This window comes from Homo sapiens, chromosome 8 (genome assembly GCF_000001405.40).
Source record: "Homo sapiens chromosome 8, GRCh38.p14 Primary Assembly".
NCBI classification, from domain to species: domain Eukaryota; kingdom Metazoa; phylum Chordata; class Mammalia; order Primates; family Hominidae; genus Homo; species Homo sapiens.
In genome coordinates this window covers 49994773-50017087 of record NC_000008.11, presented here as the reverse complement: position 1 = coordinate 50017087, position 22315 = coordinate 49994773, and the positions used below count along the sequence as shown (strand labels likewise).

The 22315-nt window shown below is 36.0% G+C and overlaps 1 protein-coding gene across 20 annotated transcripts in view; it reads right to left on the bottom strand.

The window, feature by feature from the left end:
* SNTG1 (syntrophin gamma 1) overlaps positions 1 to 22315 on the bottom strand; it is an 886897-nt gene that overhangs the window by 779605 nt on the left and 84977 nt on the right. The window contains exon 1 of one of the 20 annotated variants that reach the window (XM_017013580.3): positions 5231 to 6213. The exons of the other annotated variants lie outside the window; for them this stretch is intronic. The gene's annotated coding sequence lies outside the window, so the exon portion shown is untranslated. Of the gene's footprint in view, positions 1 to 5230; positions 6214 to 22315 lie in introns of those variants that run through there. 20 annotated transcript variants of the gene reach the window in all.

The following is a 22315-nucleotide window of genomic DNA, read 5'->3' as shown; positions in this document are numbered from 1 at the left end:
TTGAAAGATTCACTTTAATATTAATTGTATTAGTCTCTCAGTTTTTGTTTTCTGGAATGTTTAATTTTCTTTTTGTTGTTGAATATGAGTTGAGGTAGATGGAGTTCTCAGTTGACAGCCCTTTTCTGCCACAACTTTAACTATGTCATCTCACTGCTTTCCAGCTTCCTTGGTTTCTGACGTGAAGTCAGTTGTTAGTCTTATTAGTTGGTGCAAACTCATTGCATTTTTTTTGTATTGGTGGAATTTGCTGTTTGATATTGGAATACATTCTTAAATAAATGTGGTTTGTTATACATCATTTTAATGGACATTTCTCACTTTATGTTATTTTGCTAATGACTTATTACTTTCTGTTTATTTTATGTTTATTTTAGACTACAGAAATTATGTTAGACAAAAAGCAAATTCAAGCAATTTTCTTATTCAAGTTCAAAATGGGTTATAAATCAGGAGAGACAACTTGCATCATCAACAATGCATTTGGCTGAGAAACTGCTAATGAACATACAGTGCAGTGGTGGTTCAAGAAGCTTTGCAAAGGAGACAAGAGCCTTGAAGGTGATGAACATAGTGGCTGGCCATCAGAAGTTGACAATGACTAAATGAGAGCAATCATCTAAGTTGTCCCCTTACAACTATACAAGAAGTTGCCAAGGAACTCAACGTTGACCACTCTATGGTCCTTTGGCATTTGAAGCAAATTGGAAAGGTGAAAAAGCTTGATAAGTGGGTGCCTCATGAGCTGAGTGAAAAATTTTAAAAAATATCATTTTGAAATGGCATCTTGTCTTATTCTATGCAACAACAACAAACCATTTCTCTATCAGATTGTGACATGTGATGAAAAGTGGATTTTATATGAAAACTGGTGACTACCAGCTCAGTGGTTGCATTGAGAAGAAGCTTCAAAGCACTCCCCAAGGCCAAACTTGCACGAAAAGAAGATCATGGTCACTGTTTGGTAGTCTGCTGACGGTCTGATCCACTACAGCTTTCTGAATCCCTGTGAAACCATTACATCTGAGTAGTATGCCCAGCAAATCAATGTGATGCACTGAAAACTGCAAGGCCTGCAGCTGACATTCATCAACAGAAAGGGCCCAATTCTTCTCCACAACAACACCCAACTGCATGTCGCACAACCAATGCTTCAAAAGTTGAATGAATTAGGCTATGAAGTTTTGCTTCATCTGCCATATTCACCTGACCTCTTGCCAACCGACTACAACTTCTTCAAGCAGCCCAACCATTTTTTTGCAGAGAATGTTTTCCAAGAGTTCATCAAATTCCAAAGCACAGATTTTTATGCTACAGGAATAAACAAACTGACTTGTCATTGGCAACAATGTGTTGATTGTAATGGTTCCTATTTTGATTAATAAAGATGTGTTTGAGCCTAGTTATAGTAATTTAAAATTCACCATCTGAAACCACAATTACTTTTGCACTAAACTGATATTAAGGCTCCCTTGTGCGTAAGTCACTTTTGATGTGTCTAGGGCTGGATCTCTTTGAGCTTATTCTACTTGGAGATTGTTGAGTATCTTGAATGTGTACATTAACATTTTTTTACACAAATTTGGAAAATTGTTAGCCATTATTTCCTCAAATAATTTGTCTGTTTCTCTTTCTCTTCTCCTTCTGTGAATGTCTGTATACACCTATTATGCTTGATAGTGTCTCACTTTTCTCTGAGGCTTTGTTCATGTTTCTTCATTGTTTTTCCACTCTCTTTCTGAAACTACATAATCTCTATTGACCTATCATCAAGTTACCTGATTCTCTCTTCCTCCTATTCAAATCTGTTGTTTAAATCCTCTGGTGGATTTCTTATTCCAAATATTTTGCTTTACATCACCAAAATTTCTGTGATCTTTCCAAAATTATTATTTTGATCTCTTTCTTGATATTCTCTGTTGTGTGAGACATTGTTTTTATATTTTGCTTTAATTATTTCAACATGGTTTCCCTCAGTTTTGTATGCATGTAGGTTCACTGACTTAAATTGTTCCCCTACTAAATTCAAAATCTGGGCTTCTGTAGGACATTTTTTGTTGGCTTTTTTTTTTTCTGTGCATGTGGTATACTTTTCTACTTCTTTGCATGCTCATGAGTTTTTGTTGAAAACTGGACAATTTAGATAATATAATTTCTTCCATACCTTTCCCCTTAACGTGTCTTGTAGCTGTTTTTTCTTTTATATTCCTTATTTGTTTAGAAGCTTTACTGGAATAATTCTATAGATTACGTATTTCCTGCTGTGTGTGGCCACTGAGATCTCTTCTGACATTTTTTTAAAGTTCTTTTTACTATTTTAAAGTCTGCTTTCCTAGGAGTCACACCTTAAACATTATAATTTAGTGTATAACTATTGTTTAGAAGTTTTCCCTACATTGCTTGCCTATAGATCCTCTATCCTTTGCCGTGGGGATCTGTATGTGAGTCCATGTCTTCCAACTTCAGGCAGCGTATTACAAGACAGACTAGCCTTCACTTCCTGCTTAGGGAGGACCGTAAGGTCAGTGAGTAGCTGGTGGCTTCTTCTAAGATCTTTCTTAGTCATGCACATGGCTTTGCATCAGTTTAGATACCCAAGAGTATTTCAGAGCTTTTTGGTAGTCCTTATCATTGTGTAGATCTTAGAATTTCCTTTTAAATTCTCAGCCAGGCTCCGTTTTCCCAACTAAAATCACAGCCCTAGGTGACTAAAATGTTATCAGCAGTTTTCTATTGTTTCTGTAATAATGTGGGGTGCACATTTTGTATTTGTCCTGCCTGAGTTGAGCTGTGGGTCAAATCAAATAGCTAACACACTCAGAGATTTCACAGGGAGCTACAGATTTGGACAAAATATTGACTGTGCTCTGGGGATAGTATTTTTAGTGAAGCTCCAAAAATGGTCACATCTGTCTGCTGTCTGCAATGCTCTTAGCCTTTGGCTACTGTGCCACTGAGCTGCTGTGTGTGGTGGAAAGGATGGGGATAGCACCAACTTAAAACATCACCGGGCCTGCTGTCATACTGTAGTTTAGTACTTTCTTTTGAATAGGTTCTCCTCAGTACATTCTGTGGCTTTGGTTATTTTTCTGAGATCAAAAATGGGTTATTTAGTTGTCTTGTTGTATTTTTGATGTTTCACATTAACATTGAGTTAGAGGAAAACTGAGTTAACCAAGATCTTCACTCTGCCATTCTGCAATGTTTTCTCCAATGTAAACTTTTCAGGTTCCAAGTCCTCCCTTAACATGGGTATTTATAAAATCCCTGAGCCCATGATTATGCTTATATATTCCTTTATTATTTCCCCCAGGAAAAATGTTAAATATATGTGAAGTTTTATACAATTATATAAAATTGCCATTTTAAAAAAGCACAACATGCTAATTATTCTGATCTCATTACCGTAATTATATGCATCACCACATCACTATGTATCCCACAGATATGTAAAATTATTATGTGTTAGTTTAAAAAATTTTAAACACAGTACTTTTTCCTACTTTTCCAGATAGTTACTGTCACAGAGAGCCATATATATGTATATATATATGTATATATGTGCACATACATATATATCTCTATCTATCTATCTATCTATCTATCTATCTATCTATCTATCTCTCTATCCCCATTCTGGAGGTTATAGATTTAATGAAAAGAAAGTTTTACAAAATAAAGGAGGAATCAATAATTAAAGAAAGTTGTCAAGCAAATCTTTCACAGAGAATTGAATTTCAGAAATTCAAATGCAAATAAAAGTCTATGACGAGGTGCTATTTTGCCAGTTGCTATTTTTTAAGATATCCTTCTTAATCTTTGCAGTCTTCTACACATTTAATAAACTTTTTATCACTCTGTCACTCAAAGAATAGTACTGTTTCTATGAAGATTAAACACTAGCAAGACTACAGTATAAAGATTTGCAAATCCGTTATTTATTGATTCATTTAACAAATATTTATTGAATAAAGTGCCTGGGCCTGTGTTAAATGTGTCCTTTTATTCTAATGCTTTCATATCCAGGGCTTTGCTAACACAGTAGGGACTTCCCTTCTCTTTCTAGTTTTCACCAACTCTTAGAAGTAGGATTCAGCTGTGAGTGTGCAGCCTTCCATTTGCAAACCAACAAATCCAGAGCCCACATTCCAACCATATTCCTTACTGGGCTTTTATGCTCTGGGACACCATTTACTTTCCCTAGTTACCCCAGGATGAGGTACCAGACAAGTAGGGACAGCTGCAGCTGCTGTCTCAAAACCCAATGAAATTACTCAATCTAGTCCATCCTAAACCCATTTACTTTGCCTCACCCATTCCTTCACAGACAAACCACAATAAAGACTCTTGCCCACAGCTCCCCTTTTGTCTCTGTCTCCAGACTCACCCAAGTGCTCCCCCATGTGACCCCCATGGCATAGCAGGCACCTCTTCTAGGGAACTGTGAGTAACAAACTGTCTTTTCAATGGCAGTAATCTCCTGATCTGTCAGCCTCACTACATCTGAATAATAAAACTACATTTTAAAACAAGGCCTAACTCTCCAGTGAATTTAAAAACCTGAATTCCTAACCTCAGAGCCTTTGGAAATTACAGCCAATATCTAACCTCTGAAATTTTTAAGTTTGTACAAATGTAAGTGATTAGTATTATGAAGACTCCATACTTCCTAGCATTTTTCTGGTTCACCCTTTTTGTGGTCACATAGGGTAATGATGAGATTTATTGTATTGCAGCAGGACCACATTTCCATCCAGAACATACAACAGCCCCGATATCCACATTCCATTGACATGCAAGTAGTAAAATAAACCACCTCAGTTGCACTTGACTTCATGAAGATAGAAAAACAGGAAAGAAGATGCAGGCAACGTCCACAAAAAAAGCCAATGTGCTCATGTGGTGTAAGTGCTCATTTTTTTTAAATTTAAAGAAATAAAACACTTTTTAAAATTGAAATTAACATGTGTGTGAAAATAATTACTCATCTCTTGCCAACTTCACCAAACTTTTTGCCACAGACATATTTAATGTGGCTTCTAAATGTGCAAAAAGCTGAATTCACTCTACCCAAAGACAAACTTGAGGAATGTTTTGTGGGCCATGGGATGTTTCCAAATATAAAGGAAAAAAAGGTGATAGCATTTATAGCTCTGCCCTTTGCCCATCAAAGAAAGCACTAAAGTTCATTGACATTCAAGTTGTTGCCACTTGCATCAGAACATACAACCTGTGAAGGCAGGTCTGCTGTCTCTGTATTCATTGCTATGCTCTCAGCACAGAACAACTCCCACCAACGTGTCCAGTGTTCACTATGAGAAATAAAGGATGGTTTAACAAAATATATTCCTCCCCATTGACATTAAAACAGTGATAATCTTTGAATAAAATTGAAATAATTCCATAATCCCCAAAGGAAACAGAAGGAACCAGGAAGGCTCAAAAGATCTTTTTTTTTTTTTAATTTCACCTTGGGATAGTGACCTGGAATCACGTATAAAAATTATTAGAATTTGGCAGCACTGGATTGCAACCCATCAATTTAATATTTAGCTAGTAATAAAGAAATACTTAAGAGGTTAAAAACACCATGTAATGATAAATAACTTCATCAAACTCCCTCAAATTCTGAGTTGTCACACATCTTGATAAAAGTTAAAAATATTTGTGCTTAAAAATATGGAAGAGTTCATGGCACCTCCCTGCATTGGGCTAACAATAAGTATCATGCACTAAGTGTCTAGCTCTTACAAACATTATTTTCATCCTTCAAGAATCTTTAACGGGGTATTTTAAAATTTTATTTGCTAATAGAGATTTCAGGTACATTTCCTAACTTCTTTAAGGTTAGAAGCTAGTAAGAGTCAGAGCTGAAATTCAGAATAATGTTTGTCATGTTCTAGTTCTTTAAAAGATTTCTCAATGAGATGAGGAGATGGATTCTGTCATCCTCAATATTTATTACAGAGCTTGTGTCATTTCAAAGCAGGGCCATGTGAAGTCACAAGCATATATGTAGTCTTGCATTTAATGGAAAACCCAGATATATGAAATAAATCATTTAAATCAGTCTCATTTTATTCATTCACAGTAAGTCAAGTGGTATATATATTTTCAATTTAGGGAAATTATTTCACTACCATTAAAATGAATGAGCAATGGTGTGATGATATGAAGACGTAAAATATAGAGAAAATAACACAACTCTATTTGTTGAAGTAAACAAAGGAATCTGAAACAACAGTAACTAACTTCCTCCTCTTCCCCCTCCACCTCACCAAAAAAAAAAAAAAAAAAAAAAAGAGAGGCCTGTGTCCTTGGATATGTCAGGTAAATAGTCACCCAGTTCAGAAACATCAGAATTCCTCTTAAATATTCTGAGTATACCTACGGGGATGTTTTTAGTAAGAATTTTTTTTTAATCTACCATTTAAGAGAGTTTATCAAAATTTAAGATAACTGCATTGGTATTTGTCAGGTGCACCTAGTGAATTTGTCATTCTTTAGAAAATGACTATACTGGTGATTCTTTAGGGTATATGATTTTTTTTCATCCATATGTGTTAGTAATCCTATCATACATTCAGATTTTGTTTTATGAAGTCAGACATTTGATTAATTCATTCTAAACATTAGTGAATGAAAAATGGCTATGACAAGAATTAATTGCATCTCATTGTTAAAATTATTAAATTGTCAAAGAGCACTCCTTCCTAACTGTGTAATTATAGGCAAGTTCCTGAAGCTCTCTGTGCTTCAGTTTCCAAATCTGTAAAATGAGACAAGGAAAGGTCTCATTGGAGTTTGTGAGGATTAAGTGAGTTACTCTGAGTAATACACCTTGAATACTGCCTGGTATAATTGAACACAATTATTATTAGATGTTGATATTGAGTGGACACAATCCCAAACTAGTATTAGAGGAGACTACTAAGAGCAAAATCCTTAATTGTATACATGTTAGTGGCTTTCTTTTAAAACAAACTGATTACAAGAAAATCATTAAGAAAGTAAAGTTAATTAAGAAGACTTGAGACTTGATAAAAAGGAAAAACAAAAAGGAGAATCAAGAAATAAATAATTGGGTTTTTTTAGACAGAGTCTCACTCTGTCACCCAAGCTAGAGTGCAATGGCACGATCTCGGCTTACTAAAACCTCCACCTCCTGGTTTCAAGGAATTCTGCGTCAGCCTCCTGAGTAGCTGGGGCTACAGGCATGCATCACCGTGCCCAGAGAATTTTCTGTATTTTTAGTAGAGATGGGGTTTTGCCATGTTTCCCAGGCTGGTCTCAAACTCCTGATCTCAGATGATCCACCCACCTCGGCCTTCCACAGTGCTTGGATTATAGGCGTGAGCCACCACAGGCAGCCTTGTACATACTATTATTTGACTAAATAATACTTGACACTTTGCAACATTTTTCTTTATAATACCGCAAAAGAACCTCTTGATTTTGGAAGATTGGCAACAATGAAAAAGGTTTCAGATAATTTGCTACAGACAAATATAGAAACAATGGCTATGACAAGAACTTGTTCTCAGACCCTAGAATGTATGAAACTAAACGGCACCACAAAACCCCCATGCAAAAATGCTTAGCCTAATGCTTAGATGATAGACAAACTTCCTTTAGGATACATTTACACGAAAGGTGAAAAACATAGACCAAATTACATTTCCATGCCCTTTAGACCCAGAGAAAAGGTAGTCCAGTCTACCCAAATAATTCCCGTAAGAGTAGTACTTATATAACAATCCCTATATCATGCACAATAAGAACATTAAACTCCACAAATATCCAAAATTTAAATTAAAGTTGACAAAAGCATGACAACTAAAATTAAATTATACAATCTAAGTGAGATCAACATGCTATATAAAAATCAGTCCCCAGTCAAATAGCATGCAGGCCATATAGAATAAGGATGCAGAGGACTCCAGAAATGACAATCTGGTACTTTAGCAAAGTCTGAAATAGTTATAGATATTATCCTTACAAATAAGCATGGGAATCCAAAATTCAATAAAAAATAAATTAACTTCTCATAAATAAATAAATAAAGCACTGACTGGGATATTGATTCCCTATAAGAGGCAAACTGTGGGATTGAAGAATGAAAACTAAAATTACTTGAAAATTACTCAAGATAGCTACTTACATGTTGGGCAAAAATGTCAAGATGCCTCTTTAATATATTGATTTGATTTTGCAACTATGAACAAGCTAGATATAGCATGCATTTAAGTAATGCATCTATACAAATCTTAATATAATCATTTAAAAATCTTATGAGGAATCTAATTTACTTGTTCTAATAAATCAGCAATATGACAAAACAGGTGGCTGACATATAATTTGATTAACTGAGACAAGCTGTAGGAAGGATTAAATCAGCATAACATTATCTGGTATTATCCACTATCAGGTTGATGGAATTTTTCTTTGTTTCTTATCCACCCAGTTTCCTATCCATCCATTTGTCTATCCATCATACATCTATCATCCGTTCATTCATTCATCCACTTGTCCATTGATCCATCCATCCATCTATCCATCCATGTGCCCACATATCACATTCCTAATGATTAAAAAAATCTCCGTAATAAACTTTACATAATAAGGAAGACTAGACCCAATTTCTAAGAAGAGCAATAATTTCCACAGGATGTGTTTAATAATAGAACAACAATAATCAGGTGCTTATCCAGACACTGCACTAAGAAATGTGTACATATTAGCTCATTTAGTCCTGGAAACAGCCCTTTGAGGCAGGTACTAATACTGGCTCATTTTCATACAAGAAAAGTGCAGTACAGAGGGTCTGATAATGTTTGTGATGTCAGCTACCGGAAAGAGTGAATATTCCTGTCCAAAATTTGTCACTCTAGAGCTCTTAATAACTAAGTATTGCTTCCTACATAGAAACATGTGGGTTTTTTTCCATAAATTCTTTTAAATTCTCTGATATGATTTGGCTCTGTGTCCCCACTCAAATCTCATCTTGAATTGTAATTACCATGTGTTGAGGGAGGGACCCGGTGAGGGGGTGATTGGATCATGGGGGCAGTATCCCCCATGCCGCTCTCATGATAGTGAGTTCAAAATCTGATGGTTTTAAAAGTGTGTTGCAGTTCCCCCTTTGCTATCTCTCTCTCCTGCCACCTTGTGAAGTAGGTGCTTACTTCTCCTTTGCCTCCCACCATGATTGTAAGTTTCCTGAGGTCTCTCTAGCCATGAGGAATTGTGAGTCAATTAAACCTTTTTTTTAAATAAATTACCCAATCTCAAGTAGTTCTTTATAGCGGTGTGAAAATTGACTAACACATTCTCTTTCCTCTAAATTCATTCCCAAGAAAGCTGCAACTCTCTTCAAAGAAATCTCCCCACCCTCTTAGCTCACTGTGACTCTTCTCTGAAATCCTATGGAATCTCTTATCATTCAGGAATCACTCATGACCTGCCATGTAGCATATCTGAAACCAACGCATACAACTACATTATATGGTTTTTACCTTTCTGACCTTTAAAATTTGTCTAATCAACTCTCAGCACATTGAATCCCTAAATCTTGCTAATCTTTATTTTCCCCTCCAGTTAATGAAATATCACTGAAGGGTAAGAAAAATGCCTACGTTTTAAAATGAAAGAGATTTCCAGTCCAGACAATATGGTGAAAACTATCTCTCCCTCCTCCTCCCCACAAGCTCAACTATAGACATGTTGGAGAAAAATGAAAGACGACCCAAGGAGAGTTCTGAAATGTTCAAAGAGAAAGCAGGCCAGGTAGGGGCCAGAACTGGAGGAGCAGCCCAGAAGTAGGATGTCATATTATCCCATGCAACAGTGGAAGGACATCCAAGCCTAACATTTCCTGACCCGCAGCCTCAAAGAGGGAAGATCAGCTAGTCTCATACCACATGTGTGTGGAAATAGAGTCCCACCATACCAAGCAAGTTGAGGCAAACCAGTAGAGGGGACTGATCAGAAGCCCTGTGGCAATAAGTGGTGCTCTCCTTCCCTGTCCTGGGACTCCTCCTCCCACTGAGTGATTCCATTTACCAGAGACAGCAGCAGGGGCAACTGCTACAAACAAAATGCTCAACCTGGGAAGCCACTTAGTCCCCTAGGGCCTAAGACTCCCCTACCCTAGGCAGGGATATCACACTGTGGGAAACACCTGCAAAGGTGACCTTGAGCCCATGAGCAGCCTGAGAGGTTCTCCTCATCATTCCACTTTTTCAACTGGCAGACGTAGCTTGACAAGCACGAGGCTGGAAATGTTCTTAGTCACCTTGTGAGAAAGGATCCCTTTCCTAATTAGTGGCACCAGCAACCTGGCCTGCATAGTTTCGTCTGCTCACCCAAAGCAGCATCAGTAGGGACCAGAGGAAGCCCCATTGGCACAAGATAAACCATTCAGAATAAATAGCACCTCACAGGCTCAAAAGTGAGACAGCTAATAGAGCCAGACAATCAGTCTCTAAAACTAGGCCAGGACCTATGTGCTAAATCCAAACAAGGTAAATGCCCTCTTTTAAAAAAAATCTTAAATAGTACCCAGCCTTGAAACATAATAAGCCAAAAGGCAGAACACAATTAAAAAGTATGTGTTATACTGAGAACTAGGAAGATCACAACTTGAAAGATAAAAGACAATCACAGAACACCAATAATTAAACAAATCACAAATTACAATTATCTGACAAGAATTTTAAAGCAGTCATCATAAAAAAAAGTTTCAACAGCAATTTCAAATTCTCTGGAAACAAATGAAAATATAGAAAATTTTAACAAAGGAATAGAAGTTATCAAAAAGTGCTACTAGGCCGGGCACGGTGGCTCACGCCTGTAATCCCAGCACTTTGGGAGGCTGAGGCCGGTGGATCACAAGGTCAGGAGATTGAGACCATCCTGGCCAACACGATGAAACCCCGTCATTACTGAAAATACAAAAATTAGCTGGGCATGGTGGCATGCACCTGTAATCCCAGCTACTTTGGAGGCTGAGGCAGGAGAATCGCTTGAACCCAGGAGTCGGAGGTTGCAGTGAGCCCAGATGGCCACTGCACTCCAGCTTGGCAACAGAGCGAGACTCCATCTCAAAAAAAAAAAAAAAAAAAAAAAAAAAAGTGCAAGTAATGGAAATGAAAAGTAAAGTAACAGAAATAAATACAGCAAGCTACATGGGCTCAGTTTTGGAGCTGAGATGACAGAGACGGTGAGCTAGATGACAGGTCCACAGAACTGACCCATTGGAAACAGTAGAGAGAAAAATACTGAAAAAAAATAGTATAGCCTAGGGGACCTTTTACAGTCACAAAATAGGCAATATTCACATCAGCAAATCTAATTTTATCACATGGAGGGTTTTATATCTGAATTTCAACTATTCATCCTACACTACCTGAACTAAGGATCTGTATATGTAAATCAACATTTTCATTGTACTTCAAAATAATGCAATAAGGTAAATGTAATTATGTATTTGTATGTATATAGTAACCCTTATTGCATATTTTTAGTTTATTTTCAATAAAATTCTATTTAAATTCTATTTAACAAATATATACCATATTGAAATACGCAACTAAATGATCAATTATTTTTTTTTTGCAGTAATACCTGTAGACTATGTCATTGTATTGAAATAATCTCCACTGTTCCTTTTTACAATATGAGAAACATAAAAGGAAATTTTTGGGTTTATTTAAGATGTATATGTTCAATTAAAGGTAAATAATCTTTCTGTAAAGATAATTTATATTTATTACCTTAAAAAATTCCTGCATTTTGAAAAATAAAATAATAGTTTTTATTTGTATAACACTCTTGATGATATGTCTGTTATGCTCTGTTTTCCTTGTTTTCTAGTTTAGAATGTATATTTTTCTTCTTTAGGTATGCTTTTATGTAAATTTATGTAAATTATCATTTACAGTATCAAGAAATAGATTTTAGATCTTTATTAGTCTGTATCTTTTTATAAATATTAGTAACAGAAATAATACAAAAACATACATGACTTTTTCTGGTATTTTATTATATTTATAGAAACAACAAAAATAAAATGTATCTGGCTCGCGGAAAAGGCCATTTATTGGTTTAACTAATGGAAATCAACAGTCAGGGAGGTTTCATGCGCAGTTTAATTCAGCAGTGCAATAATCTTACAAACACCAACTTTGTTCATTTTCTCTGCTTTGGTTTGTGTGCTTTTGGTTTGGTTTGTGTGTCGGGTTCATTCTAATGCTGGTTGCCCTTTTAGTTCTAAGTAGCCATAGGGCTACCTGGTGCTTCTTCTCTCTCAAAGGGTAGAAGATTTCTTCTGGAAGTTATTTCAGGAGACAAAGGAAGTTTACTTCTTTCTCTAAAGGCTCCAGAAATCTCCGCATAGAAATTGTTGGACCACATTGGTTCACGTGCCAATCACTACAATAGCAAATATTGTCAGTGGGTGGAGTGCTACTGAAGCAATTTTTCTTTTTCTATGGAGAAAAAGATGAGAAGATGGAGTCAGCCTTACCAAAAGTAAAATGGCAAAGGACGTGTTGGGGAGTTACTAAGAGGAGAATGAGGTTTGGAGTGAGCAAGCACAACGCTGGGTGCAGAGTTGCAGTAAGTGAGGATCCTCTAGATTCTGGAAAATATTTAATTCCCAGCAACTAGGACTTACCATTGTCCTCTCTCTCCTACTTAGATTTGGGAAACCACCAGCTTTTGTTATAAAAGCTTAAAGTGATCATGTTTTCCAAATTAACTAGGAATAAACATATTTTAAAACTCAGTGATCCTCAATTTATGTGAAGTGAGTTGGAATAATGTATGTTAAACATCCCTGGGCCGGAAGAGAGGATGGAATTTAAGTAGTTTTATTTTCATTATTACAACTATGTGAGGTAGTTATGCTAAAGGTTTGTGTACGTTTTCATACTGACTCCTTACAAAAATCATTAATGGTAGGTTCATATAACTCAGGCACAAGGACACTAGATGATGGCCTCAGGGTATTAGCTTTTCCTGATCCCCGTATATACATGCTACTCATACTGCCATACTCTGCACCCTTTGCAAGTCCTGACGATCAAAACAGGAGTAAAAGCCCTAACAAAACTTTGGATCATTGGCAAATTCTTTTAACTAGAATAATAAACCTAGGTCAGCTACAATGAAATTCACTTCCCCCAGATTGTTTTGGGCCAGTAACAGACTCCAGAAAACAGGAGAGAGACACCTGGAAGTTACTTAATTCTAACTGATCATGCCAAGTGAGCAAACAGTTTTCATTTGGGTGTTTTCCAGAAAGAAAATGACCAAATCATTTTTATTCCCCCTAGAGGCATTAACACATTATTTTAATATATACGAGAGCAGATCCTCTTGAGAGAACAAAAAGTAAATACCAAGTAATTACAACAGAAAAAATGTCTATCTTCTAAATAGAGTTTCCTTCTAAAAGGTTCTTCAGGGAAAAAGTAAATTTCGCACTGTAATCTTGCTTTTTAATTAAAGTAAGACAAAAAATTCCATAATTACATCAACATTTAAAATGCATTGCCTTCTATTCTTAAATTTAAATTTATCTTTTAAATTAAATAAAGTAGAATGTTTTCAGTTCAAGAATTTAATTAAAAGTGATCATTGTTGCCAGTTTCCGTGAAGATTTTTCTAAAGCATCTGTTTTTCACATAAGACCACTGTAATTGTTTGGCAAAAAAAGCACTGACAGTTACAAATTTCATTTTTATTTTAAGTGATAAGAATAAATATCTTCCTTGCCCTTTACTTTGAACAAATATAAAATGCCATTATATTTTTATAACAGTTATAGTGAGACAATTTTTATATCATCAGCTTCACCTTTTAAGTGTACAACTCAGTGGTTTTTAATACAGTCATAAGTTGTACAATGATTGCCACAATCTAATTCCAGAACATTTTTATCACCCCAAAAGAAATGCTTGTGCCCAGTAGATATGACTGCCTATTATCTCTTAAGCTCCTCACAACCACTAATCTACATTCTGTCTCTATAGATTTGCCTATTCTTCACACTTCATATAAGTGGAATCATATAATATGTGGGACTTTGTGACTTGCTTCTTTCACTTAGCATAATGTTGTCAGAGTTCATTTCTATGTTGTAGCATGTATCAGTACCTTTCCCTTCTCACAGCTGTATAATATTCCACTGTATGGAAATACCACTGTTTGTTTATCCCTGTATCTGTGGATGGACATTTGTTTGTTCTGTTTTTTGGCTATTACAAATTCTGTTGCTATTCACATTTTTCCACGTTTTTGTATGGGCATATGTTTTTATTTTTCTTGGGTATATATTTGTAACAAAATTGCTGGGTCATATCATCATAGGGTAACTTTTATTCTGTTATTATGCAACATTCATATCAACCTGATTTGGAGGAGGTGTTATGTGTAATCTCTTAAATAAATTTAAGAATTGAAACCTGAGCAAAACTCACTGGAAACAAACAGAAAAATCAAGTAATCCACCCAATATAGTTTTATATTTCTTTCTAAAATAAAGAAAAAAGTAATAAAATATTAAAATTGTGCTTATTGTTTTTATTGTTGACCTTAAATGACTGTTCATATTATAAAATATTGCACTTTTATTACTGAAAATATATAAACCAACTCACAGAAAAACAGGCAATATTGAGTTTTTGAAATCTTTTTTTCTACATACATATGAATAAGAGATACCACTCTTATCTTCTAGAAGATCACAAGGTACTTGGGAAGACAACATGGATTAAGGAAAATCAGAAAGAAAAAAATACAGTGGACTATGCCGATGGCTAAACAAAAGCACGAGGTCCTGTATCTGAAGAAGGAGGAAAACATTTGGAGTTGGGCCTTTTAAAAAAATACCCACTTTGTGATATATTACCTTCCTGCAACATCTTATTCTCATCATTTCAATTTACCTTTGTTTCTTCATAGTTTCTAGAGATTCAGTAATAAGACTTTTAAATATTATGAAATATGTCTAGTGTTGGTGGTGCTAAGTGCATGACAAACCTGATTAGGTGAAGTGCCGCTCAGAAACAGCGGTAGTCTACAAGCCCCAAAACCTCCTTCCCAGCCTGATTCGTCAGCTTTACTGTCTGGGTCACCTTCCACAAGCACTTTCTTTCTCTAAGCTTATTGTTCTTATCTACAAAACATAGCTCAGTTCCCTGTCTTCTTCCTAAGAAGGTTGTATAAATCAAATACACTGATATTTGTGGAATTACTCTACAAACCATAAGTTTTGCTGCAAACTCGCTGTTTAACCTTGAACAAGCTATGAGGTCTCTGGGTATGACATGGCACACTTTAGCAGAGTGCTACTTCCTGATTCTCAGAGGGAAGTTATTGGTGCACTTCACCAAGCAGTAACCAATTCACAGAAGTTTAGAACTGCAAGATAACTTAATGCTTTAATTTCACAACAATATACAGTCTGATGTATACAGAGGAGTTGAAAATCCACGAAACTCTGAAAGTTGTTGGTGCCTCCACAGTTCCAATGAGCCAGAGGTATGTAAGACAATAGATGATGAGTGTTCTCTCCTTGACTGAACTCTAGCCAGGCTCCTCTGGGCCCTCTTTTGACAAGGCCTCACTCTTGTCCTATAAAGACTTCAGTAAACACTAATATAGTTTCTAGCAGTTCAAGGCCACCTTCCTAGGCTCACCATAAGCCCCCTAAAAGTGCTGTCCTGAGAAAACTCAAGGCTGCCCAAAGAGTTTACTGTTTGTTTCAGCCGACACCTGAAGACAGGATCCTCATCTCTCAGTCTCTGTGGGAGGGTGGGAATCCAACTTCAATAAGCACCAATTAAAAAACCCAGATAGGTTTCACACAGACCGAACCCTCATTTCTACTTTCTGTAATTTTCCATTTCTCTGAATACTAAGCCCCTGCACACCCACTCCCCACTCACTTGTTCTTCTTGTGTAACACACAGTCATTTCTGCACAAGTCACAGTTGAGCTCAGCTCACCCTGGACTCTTTTCCCTAATGCAGTGGCGTATGACTGATTAAAATCTGTCCTTACCATGTCAACTATTGTCCTGCTTTGTTTATCTTTAACATAAGTTTCTGGAAAGAAAATTGAAGGCAAAAGAAAGGCTTTGACAACTCTATCTCTTGGCAAATGTGCTCTGATGTTTTCAGAGGGCCAAGAGTTCAGATATGGTGAAACAGTTTCACTTGTTCTCCTAAAATAAACAAATTTGTCTGCTACTGACAGGAAGGATAACCTCTTGTCCAGATCTATAGGACTCTAGCAAGAATAAAAGGAAGTACATTAAGTAACTAGCAGGGAGCAGTTATTTTTGACTACATTTGTAAAGCACAGATACATTTCTTATACATTTATGTGACATTTAGGGGCACGAGAGCGTAAAAGCTTCAATTATTGCAGCCAAGGAGACTATTTTATATTGCTTATGAGAAGTAGCACAGAGTCTGTGATATTTGCACTACAGGCAAGCTTTTCTTAAGTCAGGTTATGCACTGAAGTTTAATTCTTTTCACAAAAATGTAAGTCTTTAAACACCCTTTACATTGTACAAAGAATCTGAAAGGGGAGTAGAGAAGGAGAAAAACATAACTAAAGCACAACATAAAAAAATAAGACCCATTCCAGAACAACTCGGAGGAGCAGCAGTTTGCAAAATACACACAGGCACTTCTAGCATTCTGTGATTTTAAAACTCGGAGGAATAGAGCTTGATAGATTTTTAGAAATATACTAGATGATACTTCTGCTTAAAATCTGAACTGGAATAATGTCAGTCAGAAAGAGATGGAAATGTCTTTGCTATGGATATTAAAAGCCCGGAAGTAAGCAATCAATCATTTCAACACAATGACAAGCAGGAAAAACAGAAGCAGATCATATGGCAGGAACTTGCAGTATGAAAAGATGACATCTGGACCAGTGTGGCACGGTGCCAGTCATCATGGTCAGCACTAAATGAAAAACAAAAGTTAAATGAATGAACAGACTTTCTCTTGGCCTTACCAAACTAATGATTTATTTCTCTTGTAGTGAAGAAGGATTGCAAGTCAATACCAGATACAATTATTCAATTCAACAATATGTATTAAGCCAGGAACTGATCGAGGCCCTGGGAATACAACAGGAAACAAAATAGAGGGGACAAAAAATCATTCAAGTTCCTAAAAAGAGGTTCCATTCTAGTGGACAGAGGCAAATGAAGTTAGGTGAAATATTCAGTGTAATTATTATACCAGCCAATATCAAGTACCACAGAGGAAAATAAAGCAGAAGGTGGAAACAGGAAGCACTGGCTCGGTGGGAGAGCCGAGCCCTGGATTCAGGAAACGGGCAAAAAGCCCTGGCAGTGAAGGTGACATCAGAGCTAAGCCCCAGGAAGAAATGGGGAGAGCCATGCAGACATTGGGGGAAGAGTGTTCTGGCACATGGAATCGCAGGTGCAAAGCACTGTATAAAGAGGCCCATGTAGGCCTAGAGAATGTTCAAAAAGAATAGGGACGAATGGTCAGACTCATCATAGGCCATGGAGAGTGAGATGTAAGTCACTGAGAGATACTAATCAGACTTGAATTGACTTTATTATAACAAGATCACTGTGGCTGTTGTGTCAAGAATAGACTGGAGGAGAGTGAATAATGACAGATGAGGAAACACTCTGCTTCCAGGCAGAAGACCGTACTCACCCAGGCTGCTCAGAGGAGATTGCAGCAGAGAGGCAGTGAGACAATGAGCTGCTACACTCTTAATGATGTAAATGTAGAGGGAGAAAAAGAGAAGAAAAATTTTGACTTCAGCAACTGTGAAACTGGGCACCGTTAAAGAAAAGTAGAAAAGTTTGAGAGGAAAAATCAAGTATTAGGTTTGGATATCTTAACTTCATATTCTTTTTAGACCTCTGAGGATCTACGTTGAACTACATGTACAGTCATGCATCCCACAATGATGGTTCGGTTAAAGAAACACCATATATGAAAGCAGTTCTGTAAGATTATAAAGGAGTTGAACACTTCCATTCGCCTGGTGACATGGTAGCCATCACAGTGTCAAGCAATGCATTACACAAGTGAATGTCAACAAATCCATTTTATAGACTGTGTTGCCAGTCTATAGAAGTCTGCACACACAGTTATCCAGTACATAATACTGGATAATGATAATAAATGACTATGCTACTGGTTTATATATTTACTATACTACAATTTTTATCATTATCTATCATTATTACTTCTACATATACAAAAAATAGTTAACTAAAAAATGGCCCCAGTTAGGTCCTTCAGGAAGTATCCAGATGAAGGCATCATTATCACAGGAGATGACAGCTCCATGCCTGTTATTGTCCCTGAAGACCTTCCAGGGGGACAAGATGTGGAGGCAGAAGACAGTGACATTGATGATCCTGAACCTATGTAGGCCTAGGATACTGTGTGTGTGTGTGTGTGTGTGTGTGTGTGTGTGTGTGTCTTAATTTTTAACAAAATGCTTAAGTAGTAAAGAAAAAAATTAAAAATAAAATAAAACATATAGTATAGTAAAGATATTAAAAAATATTTTGTACAGTTTTATAATGTGTCTGTGTGTTAAGCTTTGTTCTTACAGAGTCAAAAAGTTAAAAAAATTAAGTTTATAAAGTAAAAAAGTTACAGCAGGCTAAGGTTTATTATTGAAGAAAGAAAAATATGTTTTATAAACTTAGTCTAGCCTGGCTGTCCAGTGTTTATAAAGTCTACAACAATGTATAGTAAGTAAAGTCATAGGCCTTCACATTCAGTCACCACTCACTCACTCACTTATCCAGAGCCACGGCAAGTCCTGCAAGTTCCATTTGTGGTAAGTTCCCAATATAAGCATACCGTTATTGATCTTATATACTGTATTTTTGCTGTACTTTACCTATGTTATGTATGTGTATGTTTATGTATGTGTAGATACACAAATGCTTACCATGCTGTTACAATTGCCAAGGACAGAAACATGCTGTATGGGTTTGTAGCCTAAGAGCAATAGGCTATACCATATAGACCAGGTGTACAGTAGGCTCTACCATCTCAATTTGTATAAGTATCCTCTATTATGTTCACATGACAAAATTGCCTAACAACACATTTCTCAGAAAGTATTCCCATTATTTAGTGAAAAGTGATGACTGTATATGCGTCTAGACTTCAGGTGAGAAGTCTTGGTTGACTAGGAAATTGTATTCTTAGCATAATCTCTAAAGACATGAAACCAGATGAAACAATAGATTTCTAATGACTGAGACACTACAAGATCTCAAGATCAAGATGCTAAAAAAACAACAATAACAGAAAAAAAGTCTAAGAAGGAGTAACTTGTGAGATTGTAGGAAAACCAGGACACAAGTTTTTTCTGGAAGTCAAGTGATAAAATATTTCTAGGGTATGGGAATGATCAGTTGTGACAAATATACTCATTGCTAATCCACTAGGTCTCACTAAGATGAGTGTTTATTGTTTTAGCAACATAAGGCTTGGTGGTAACCTTAAAAATTTTCAGTGATCCAGGTGGGAGAAATAGGACTTGAAGGAATTCATAGTGAAATAAAGGAGGGAAGGATTTAGATACAGGAAGTACATGACTCCTCTGAGTTAAGGGAGCAGAGAAATAAGGTGGTAATTACAGAAAATTAATTTTTAGCTTTTTTGATTGAAAAAATAACAATATATTTATATACTTATGGGAATAATCTATGAAGGCATGGGGACTAAAGATATAATAGAAAAAGGAAAGAATTTATGGAAAGCGATGCTCTTGAATAGGCCAGAGGGAATGGGGTGAGATACAAAAGTGGATGGTGCAGCTTTGGATAGACCCAAGACAATTGTATGCATATAATTATCACAATAAAATGTGTACAATTCTGATTCCTCAGTGTTCATTTAGACAGAGAACAGCTTCGTGGAGTCACAGAGTTGCCTAGTTTAGGTAAATACAGCTTAAATTTTATATTCTCAAAGGACAAAGTAAGTAAGTAGCTCACAGAAGGCTCCCTTTTAAAAAGCTAATTATATTCTAGGTGTGCCACTCATTACACAGACATTGGATAAAATAAGTCTATTAAATAGCATAAAACAAGTTCAAATCGTCTTACTATTGGACCTCAAGATTCTTCTTTAAGTTATGAAGTGATTTGGCTATGCAATTATAATTATTCCAGGATTGCCACAATCTAAAAACTATGTAATTATGAGCTTCTATCTTGGAATTTATATCAGAAAGCAAGAAACTTTCTTAGTTCCTTGTTAATATGAAGGTCCGGGATGTTAAAAATTCAAGGTCTGTGAAATGATAGATATTAGAACAATAACCCTTTTGATGGGACAAAGTAGTGAAAAGTGTTGGCATATCTATCTAGATAATTGCCAGACAATCTAGATAATGTAAATAAACATTTGGACTGGCAATTGGTCATTTATTCAAATAAAATTTATTTTAATGTGTAGTATTTTAAGAAGTCCTATTAGAAAGTATATTCTGTATTTTAAGCTTGTCCTTATTCCAAGCTTTATGGTGACAAAATATTTCTCTCCAAGATGCAGTATGAGGCTTTTGGATAAAATTAGAACTGAAGGAAAAGGAGAAGGCAAGGACATGGAGAATGAAGTGCTCTTTCTTTAAAGAATGTTTCAACAAACATTGTGGAGGTAAAAAAAAAAAGCTTCTTACTGTTTCTTCTTTAATTTTTTACCTTGATACACTTATTGAATAATAAGGAGTGGTACAATCCTTATTTCCAAGAATTGTAATGCAAGTTATTTGGTGATTTGGCCTTTTCTCCTCTCTTACAAAAATCATATCATCTCAGAAGAAAACAAGCAGTATTATTAGTTAAACCTTCTATCTTATTTAGCTTTATATATAAATCTGAGAAAATGGAAGGATGAAGAAAGTTTTCTAAAATGGCAATAAAAAAGACAAACCAAAAAATTCAATTTTAATAATAAAAGTAAATATCATATATTTTCTAGTTTACAGTAACTAATTTCTAAGGTTTCATCTTTTTCTGTAAAATTGAGAGTTCTACTTGCAGTTTTTCCTTCTAGTTCTACTCCCTGGCTATCAGCATGAAGTTATAGATTCATTAAAACATACCCAGTTTTTATGCTTAAAGATATGGATGCATAGGCATCAAATGAGAAAAAACTTTAGGGCATAAGAGTATCTTGCGATCAGCTAATACAAAGCTGAATAAATGGTATGTAAGTGACAGAGTAAAATGAGGATTTATTGACAAGGCAATGAGCCCTGCCTGAGCATAAGGCATGGAGGGTGACCCACACAGACACCGCAGAGGGTGTGCTCCTCTAGAGCTGACTTCTCATTCTCTCTCTAATGAGCAGAGATTCCAATGCCTACTCTGTCAATATCCTGAACATTTTCACTGCAGTATTCTTTTACACTGACCTGCTACTTTGTGTGTGAGGGGACCTCACCTGAATAAATCCGAATTCTCTGCCAGCTCTGCAAAAACCCTGAACTGCTGAATGCTATTGGAGAAAAATTAAACAAATGCACACATCAGTGCTACCATTGTCTTGTGGATGCCAGACTCCACTGGGTTCTTAGCTCTTCCCACTAATCCTTCTATGTCAATACTCTCTCCAGTTCTCAGTAGACAAGAATTCAGAACAATTTCTCTATTCTCAAACATAACCTTCTGGCCACCTGATTTATTTTCAGCAAATAGCCTTATTTTGTATTTTTCTTTTAAAAAGCCACCTAAAAATAACATCAACATTAATCTAAACTCCCACAAATATTCATATAGCTGCAACTGTCCTTTCTTTTTTTCATTTTCTGTTTCACACTCCATTGAGTGGCCTTGCCAATCTTAATGTTGAACTCTTCACCAGAGTTCAGGATTTTATTCACTCCAGAATTTTTGAAACCTCTGTTCACTGATTATTTCTTCTTCTCTTATTTCATTATTATCTTCATTTCCATTAGTCTTTCACAATCTCTCGATTCTCACATGTTAAAAGAAAAGGCCAAGTTCACATCATCTTACCATTGGACTCAACATTCTTATTTAAATTATGAGGTGATTTGGCTATGCAATTACTACACCTTTTTCCTAGCACTTACATTCTGTTAATTATAAGACCCATGAGGGCATTGAAATAATAAAGTGTCCTTTACTACATTTTAAGATCTGGGATGATTCTAAATGAAATGAAAAAGTAGCCATTATCTTTAATTCTCTACCTTTGAGGTACCCTTTAGCCCATTCAGTGTCTTACTAAGTTCCTGACTTTTC